The 8,405-nt window shown below is 43.5% G+C and overlaps 1 long non-coding RNA gene across 1 annotated transcript; it reads right to left on the bottom strand.

Moving 5' to 3' along the window:
- Nucleotides 1-1,461: 1,461 nt before the first annotated feature.
- On the bottom strand, nucleotides 1,462-5,896 carry LOC105373963 (uncharacterized). Its single transcript, XR_001739237.1, has 3 exons — nucleotides 5,840-5,896; nucleotides 2,473-2,726; nucleotides 1,462-1,659 (listed from the first exon to the last, which is right to left on the bottom strand). It is a non-coding gene; the product is annotated as an uncharacterized LOC105373963 (long non-coding RNA).
- Between the last annotated feature and the right edge of the window lie 2,509 nt (nucleotides 5,897-8,405).

The following is an 8,405-nucleotide window of genomic DNA, read 5'->3' on the forward strand; positions in this document are numbered from 1 at the left end:
ACACACTAGGGAGTCTTTCATTCTACACATTGTGGGTCTCTATTTGTTAACTTCACAGGGAGAAAACAGAATGACTGGAAGACTAAGAACATTACAGGAATGTATACTTGGCTTCTCTGTCAACCAGATGTCTGTACTGCTGCCCTAAAATATACTGGGAACCTAATGCCTTTCTGAAAAATCAGTCCAATGTTTGTAAACAGGGAAGTTGCAATATGGACAGTGAAGTCACCTGAATTGTTTTTTTAAATAAATATTTTGAGTATTTCTTTCCACATATCTTGATCTTTCACCTCATTTTTGCTTAACTTAAATTTTTCTCTTTTGCTTTTGGATCAGCTGAAAAGCCCATATAAGTTTACAGCATTAACAGCATATAGCACTGTGATATTTTGCAACTTGAAGCCAAGTTAAACATATGGACATTTTAACGTTATTTTGTTGAAAACCTTTCTTTGGAATGCCTTTTATTCACTTTTAGGCAGATCTAATTATAGATGGAGTTTTAGCTTGCATGTTAAGCACATGATGTGGGATGTCTGAACATGCAAGAAGGGGCCAAATCTCTCCTATGGGAGCAGGAAAATCCTTGGGTTGCACTGGAATTTTTAAAAATATTAACTATTGCTCCAGTAATAATAGTCATTCTCTTGGGCCTCCAACTATCTTACTTATAGCACATTTTTATTATAATATAACTTAATCTGCAAAGTTAAATGTATAAAATTAAGCTGACAGTCTCAATTTTTATGTTTATCATCAATGTAACTTTTAAAGGAGATAGAGTTTGCCTATAAGATGCTCCAGTAACTCTTGATAGTGTCACTCTGCACCCTGCCCACCCAAGGGTCACAGGTGACCTCTGCAACAATTCATGCAACAATTGTTAATTGGACACCTATTGTATGTGTGAGCCAATGCTGGGGCCTCTGGAGACTGCAACTCTTAAATAACATGCAGTCCTTACAATCACACTAGACTGAAAGGGTCATGCAGCACTTGGCTGCGCCCACATAGAACAGCATGGAAGGGTGAGTTTAAGGGAGACTTCATACAGGCAACCGCCTCCCGAGCTTCGCCCATGACAGTCTCTACATCACAGAGTTGTTTTGGGAGTCAAATAAGATATTATATGATAATAAACTTACTTCATTGTCTGGTTCATAGAAACCTCTGAGATATCTGTTTGATGTTTTTACTATTATTGGAAATCTTGAACTGTTTTCCTCGGATGATCCAGAAAAGATGCTTGAACTCTTCACATTTTCTTCCTGACTTCACAATATTACATACAAAATTATAAATCTAAGAAGTGCTTTCCTAGAAGAAACTTTGTTAGAAACAGAGCACTGTGGGGGTCTTTGATTTAACACAGGGTTGGGGTGGGTGCTGGGGGGGTGCCTCTGACCAGTGGAGATGGCTCAGAGAGCCAGACGGTGGTGGCCAGGAGTCACTGTGGGAGCCTGTGAAGGTCAGTGTCAGGAGAATATACGAGATCCCAGAGAGAGAGAATCGAGCCTGCCAAACTGCAGGTAGGGCACCTGGAGGAGGACTGTGGCATTGATCAACAGGAGACGCCTGGAGCGAGTCAGAGTCAAGACCACTTGGGCTTCTCCTGGTTCTCCCTGTGGACAGACAGGCTGTCTTCACCAAGATGGGCTGTAACAGAAAGGACAGGTATTGTTTTATTCAGTAAGAATTCCATTTCCAAAATTGATTGGAATTTTATTTTTTCAATGAGAATGAATCCTATGAGTTTATCTGCTCTCCTCATTCTTATCAAAATGACAAAAAAATGTGCAAATGAAAAAAATCTAACAAGGGTGCGTGGTTTTAAGGCCCAGATATTTTTTTTTTAGAAACTTCTGGAAGATATGAAGAATTGTGATCACATGGCAGGACAAGCCAAGCAGTGCCAACCATCCATAGTCTGTTTCAGGTTGGGAGGGAGCTATCTGTGAAGTGGGCAAATCAAAAGACCCAAATGATGGGGCCAGAGAGAAGCTGGCCAGTGCCTCCACCAAAGTGGGGCTGTCATAGCAAACTGGAAGAAGATACACTGGCATCTTAGTCCACTTGTGTTGTTGTAAAGGAATGTCTGAAGCTGGGCAATTTATACAGAAAAGAGGTTTATTTGGCTTCTGGTTCTGCAGGCTGTGCAAGAAGCATGGCGCCGGCACCTGCATCTGGTGATTCAGGCTGATTCTGGGGTTCAGGCTGCTTCCGCTCATGGTGGAAGGTGAAGGGAAGCTGACATGTGCAAAGAGCACATGGTGAGAATGGAAGCAAGGGGTGGGAGTGGTGCCAGGCTCTTCTACAAAATCAGTTCTCATGGAACTAACAGAGCGAGAACTCACTCCTTGCCTCAAGGACTGCACCAAGATGCTCATGAGGGATCCTCACCCATGACCCAACCAGGACGTTCATGAGGGATCCTCACCCATCACCCAAACACCTCCCATTGTACCTCACCTCCAACATTGGCGATGAAATTTCAACACGAGGTTTGAAGGGGACAAATGTCCAAGCTTTATCAGTGGGTTGTTGATATGTTTAGGTGCAATTCAGTAAGTCTTCATCGTGCTGTGCACTGCAGGGAGTGGACAGTCTCCGCGTGGTGCCCATCCCTTCTGACAGTGCAGCTCCTGATCTACTGCAACACCTGGGAGAAGGCGGCTCTTCACCTTTAACTGAAGTGCTTGGAGATCCAGATATGAAAATGAATCCTGTTAAGACATAAGCCTCACTAAGTAAAGGACTGACATCTCTAATCAAATCAAATAAGATGATGTAAAGTCCATGCAGTAGGTTGCTTGCATTGTTAACATAGGGATATTTTTGCTCTTCCTATGAGCATAAAGCAATGATTTCAAATCTTGTTGCTATATGTAAGATGTTTACTCTTTGTTTTAAAGTTAGTTTTTCTCTAAATAGAAAAATAATCCACAATCCTACTAAATTATCAAGAAGCAAATAAAGTACAAAAATGAAAATCCTCTTTGCATCTCAAACATCCCCTCTCCTGCCTGCAGCCACCACTGTTATTAATAACTTGGCGTAAAGAGACTCCTCCCAGAGGTATTCTGTATGTGAATTCATGTATCTGTAAATGGACCTGTATGTGAATGCACACACACAACCACACACCACACACACACGCCACACATACACACACCACACTCACCACACATACACACACAGCACACACACACCACACAACCACACACATACACAGCACACACACACCACACAAACCACACACACCACAAACCACACACACCACACACACACCACACAAATACACACCACATACACAAAAATACACACACCACACACATACCACACACACCACACAGCACACAAATACACACGCAAATACACACACACCACACACAAATACACACTCATACACACCATACACACACAAATACCCATATACACCACACACAAATACACACACGCACATACACACAAATACACATACACCACACACACACAAGTACACATACACTACACCACACACACACCACACGCCACACATACACATACCACACACACAACCACATACACATACACACACACCACACACAAAAATACCACACACACAAATACCACAGACATGCACAAATACACACCACACACACACCACACACACAAAAATACACAAATACGCACACACACCACACACACATACACACGCACCATACACACACAAATACCCACATACACACACACCACACACAAATACACGGACATACACACAAATACACATACACACACCACACACACAAGTACACACACACCACACACAAATACACACACACAAATACACACATACACCACACACACAAATACACGCACACATATACACACATCACACACACATACACACAAATATACACAGACACAAATACACCACACATGCAAATACACACACCCACATATACACACATACACACCACACGCACAGATACACACACACGCAAACACACACACCACACACACACACATACACACATACACACCCCACGTGTAAAGCAAAAACAGAATTTATTCTCTACATATCATCTTTAACTTGCTTTTAAAATTTATTATGGACATCATAAATACCTTCCCATTTCGAGAAGTAGGAGCCAGCCTCTTTCTTCTGAGAGTTATGACTCAGAACCCACTGAGAGTGGAGGAACAGCGAGGCAGCCAGAGGTCGCATTGACCCCTTTCCAGACTGGGGCTGCTGAAGAACGTGCTTTGGGGGCACTGCTCTGAGGCTGTGCAGTTGCTGGAAGACCTGCGCCCCGAAGACCCCGCCCCAGCAGCAGGGGCCTCGATTGCTAAGCTCAGGGTCTGGCCTGGCCATGAGCCAGGAAAAAGATGCATGCTCAGGTCCTGTTCCAAATCTGCCAACTAGAACTCAGGCTTCCTTCTCTGGGATTGAAGAAGGGCAGAGACATGCTGGGACTGTTACCTGAAGCAACCTCTGTCTACACAGAAACTCCAAGGAACGAGAAAGGAAATTCCCCAATGCATAGGATTCCTGAATATGAGCAAAATGTATGTGACCATTCCCTAATGATGGACACTTGGCATTTTTCCAACCCTTTTTTTTTTTCTTGAGACGGAGCCTCACTCTTTTGAGACAGAGTCTTACTCTGTTGCCCAGGCTGGAGTGCAGTGGCACAATCTCCACTCACGGCAACCTTTGCCTTCCAGGTTCAAGCGATTCTCCTGCTTCAGCCTCCCAAGTAGCTGGGACTACAGGCACACGCCACCAGGCTCGACTAATTTTTGTATTTTTAGTAGAGATGGGGTTTCACCATGCTGGCCAGGCTGTTCTTGAACTCCTAACCTCAGGTGATCCATCTGCCTCGGCCTCCCAAAGTGCTGGGATTACAGGCATGAGCCACCATCCCCAGCCTCTTTTCAACCTTTTTTATTGCCACTCATGTTGAAGTTAATATCATTATGCCTACAACTTTATTCACTCATTTATTATTTGTCTATGGTACATTCCTAAATGTGGAACTATTGGATTAGAGTATCTCCACATTTGAAATGCTAATAGGTATTGCCAAGTTAATTTCCAAAATGGTTTTATTGATCTGTAATCCTACAATCCTACGTGATAGAGCACTTGTTTCCTACTCTCTGGTCACCAGTGAATATTACCATTATTTATACATTTTGCTAATGTTATAGGCAAATGTATAGATGTGTATGGTATGTAGACACATACACATACACATATACACACATATGTACATGTATGTATGCATGCACTTATAAAAACAGATGTAAATACAATAGCTGTTCAAATCTGCATTTCTTTAACTAGAAATAAGGTTAGCTTCTTTTCACGTATGTATTGGTCATCTGTCTTTTTCTTTCTTTAATAAAATGCTTATTCATATCCTTTGCCAATGTTTTGAGTTATCTTTTTTCTTTGGATTGTTGCAGCCTTTTGTATAAATCATAGATACCCATTTTTTCTTTCATATATTGTGAATATTTCCATAAAAGCTGTCACTTGTCTTTTAACTTTATTTTAAAAATCTGTTAATTTTTTTTTTTTTTTTGCGTAATCTGTTAAACCTTTCTTTTATACCTTCTGGAGTTAGTGTATTTAGGAATTTTCTCTACCCCATGATTATTAATATATTTCTTTATTTTTTGAGTACCTATATAGAATTCTTTTTTTAATTTGGCTCCTTAAGTAATCTGGAATTTGCCTACCATTATGGCAGAGAATGCAACCTTGTTTTCCTCCAAGGAGTTAGTCATTTAGCCCATCCTCTGCTCACTGATTGGATGGGCTGTCTTGTTTCAAATATCAGGTCCTCACCTCATTCATGCTTGGGTCTGTTCCTCTTCTCAATGTTTCTGACGTGTGCTGTCAACCTAAACAACAGAGAGAGACTCTGTAAGAGAAAATGGTACTGATTTGGGAATAGAGTATTGCAGTGGGGATATGCATGCCACAGTAAGCTGTGTGCATACCCAGGGAGGTAAGGAAGGACAAAGGTTTGTAAAGGAGAAATGGAGAGGATTACAGCATTGTTTTGAGATCATCACTGGCTGCGAAGTCAATAACAAGAATAACAAGTGTGGCACCAGTCTGAGGTTGCACAGGCAGTTGTCTTTTTTCTCACACGGGAAAATCATTATATCATTGTCCACCGCATGGAACTCCCCCAGTTCCTGGCAGCCACCATTCCGCTTCCTGTGTCTAAGAGCTTCGCTACTTGAGGTGCCTCATATGATCAGAATCACGTAGAATATGTCCTGTGGCTGACCGGTTTCCCTTCGCGTAATGTCTTATGTACACCGGGACGGTTCAGTCTTAAAAAGGAAGAGAATCCTGTTATATGTGACAACATGGATGAACATTTTCCTCTTCATTCAAACATTTCACCAGAATAAATGCAGGTGGGGCATTCGATTCATCTTTCCTGGTGCCCTGTGACTCCTTTACGACCTTTACTCAGCTTGGGAAGCCCTTTTCCCAGCATCTCATCTCAGACCATGGATTCCCACCCGACGAGACCCGCTGTGCACCGATGCCCGAATCCTATCCTCCTGGAACTTTATCTTGCTTATTCCATGCGCCTCCAGTCTGTCTTCTCGGCGTCTTCATTTCTTCACTCTGTCTGAGTTCTAGGGGGTTTTCCAAGCTTGTCTGATCGGATGCGTCGTCTAGGTCTCTGTGGTGACGGCGTGGTGAGAGGTGGAGAGGAGGAGGGGCAGGTGAGCAAACAGCACGGAGTTGAGGGTTGGGGGTGGGGTGAGAGGCAGCACCAATGGAGGAGCCCCTGCAAGGGAAGAAATGTGTCCAGGAGAGCAGCGGGGCCGCGGGACCAGGAGAGCTACCCGCCAAGGCCCCGTGATCAAGGAGCAGTGCTTCTTTCGGGAACACAGAGAGAGACTCTGTAAGAGAAAGGTCCTGTTCCTTTCTAAGGTACTGTTCCTTCCACATTTTCTCTAAGGTCCTGTTCCTTTCTAAGGTCCTGTTCCTTTCGCATTTTCTCAGCCCTCTCCCGCCCCTCTTTTGCCTTCCACCCCCTCCCTTCTTCCCCCAGGGGCTCCTTTACCATTTCTTTCACACCACTCCTTGCCCAACACAGCTGGGCCCTGGGTAAGGAGGGATGGGCAGAGCAGGCGTGACTCCGGCTTCCTGGAGGAAGGCCTCAGTGCGGGGAACAGCATTTCAAGCTGTGATTTCAGTGGAGGGTGACAGTGACTGGGGCAGGGACCCTCAGGGATTGGTCAGAGCAGATGTCCTCATCAGCCCCTGGAAGGGGAAGAGGTGGCTCTGGATGGGAAGGACAGACGGGCACGGGGAGGGACGGGAACAGGGTTCACAGCAGGAGAAGCGGCACGGGCCATGGAGCCTCTGGAGCCCGGGAGGATGATGCTTCTTTACAGTTCTGCTGGCAGAGCAGGGCAGGTGGACTCCTGAAGGTCAGGAATATTTTTTTCGAAAGGAGACTCTAAGAACTAATTATTATTATTATTTTTTTTTCTTTTTCTTTTTTTTTTTTTATTATACTCTAAGTTTTAGGGTACATGTGCACATTGTGCAGGTTAGTTACATATGTATACATGTGCCATGCTGGTGCGCTGCACCCACTAATGTGTCATCTAGCATTAGGTATATCTCCCAATGCTATCCCTCCCCCCTCCCCCGACCCCACCACAGTCCCCAGAGTGTGATATTCCCCTTCCTGTGTCCATGTGATCTCATTGTTCAATTCCCACCTATGAGTGAGAATATGCGGTGTTTGGTTTTTTGTTCTTGCGATAGTTTACTGAGAATGATGGTTTCCAATTTCATCCATGTCCCTACAAAGGATATGAACTCATCATTTTTTATGGCTGCATAGTATTCCATGGTGTATATGTGCCACATTTTCTTAATCCAGTCTATCATTGTTGGACATTTGGGTTGGTTCCAAGTCTTTGCTATTGTGAATAGTGCCGCAATAAACATACGTGTGCATGTGTCTTTATAGCAGCATGATTTATACTCATTTGGGTGAACTCCCATTCACAATTGCTTCAAAGAGAATAAAATACCTAGGAATCCAACTTACAAGGGATGTGAAGGACCTCTTCAAGGAGAACTACAAACCACTGCTCAAGGAAATAAAAGAGGAGACAAACAAATGGAAGAACATTCCATGCTCATGGGTAGGAAGAATCAATATCGTGAAAATGGCCATACTGCCCAAGGTAATTTACAGATTGAATGCCATCCCCATCAAGCTACCAATGACTTTCTTCACAGAATTGGAAAAAACTACTTTAAAGTTCATATGGAACCAAAAAAGAGCCCGCATTGCCAAGTCAATCCTAAGCCAAAAGAACAAAGCTGGAGGCATCACACTACCTGACTTCAAACTATACTACAA

Source organism: Homo sapiens, chromosome 2 (genome assembly GCF_000001405.40).
Source record: "Homo sapiens chromosome 2, GRCh38.p14 Primary Assembly".
Lineage (NCBI taxonomy): Eukaryota > Metazoa > Chordata > Mammalia > Primates > Hominidae > Homo > Homo sapiens.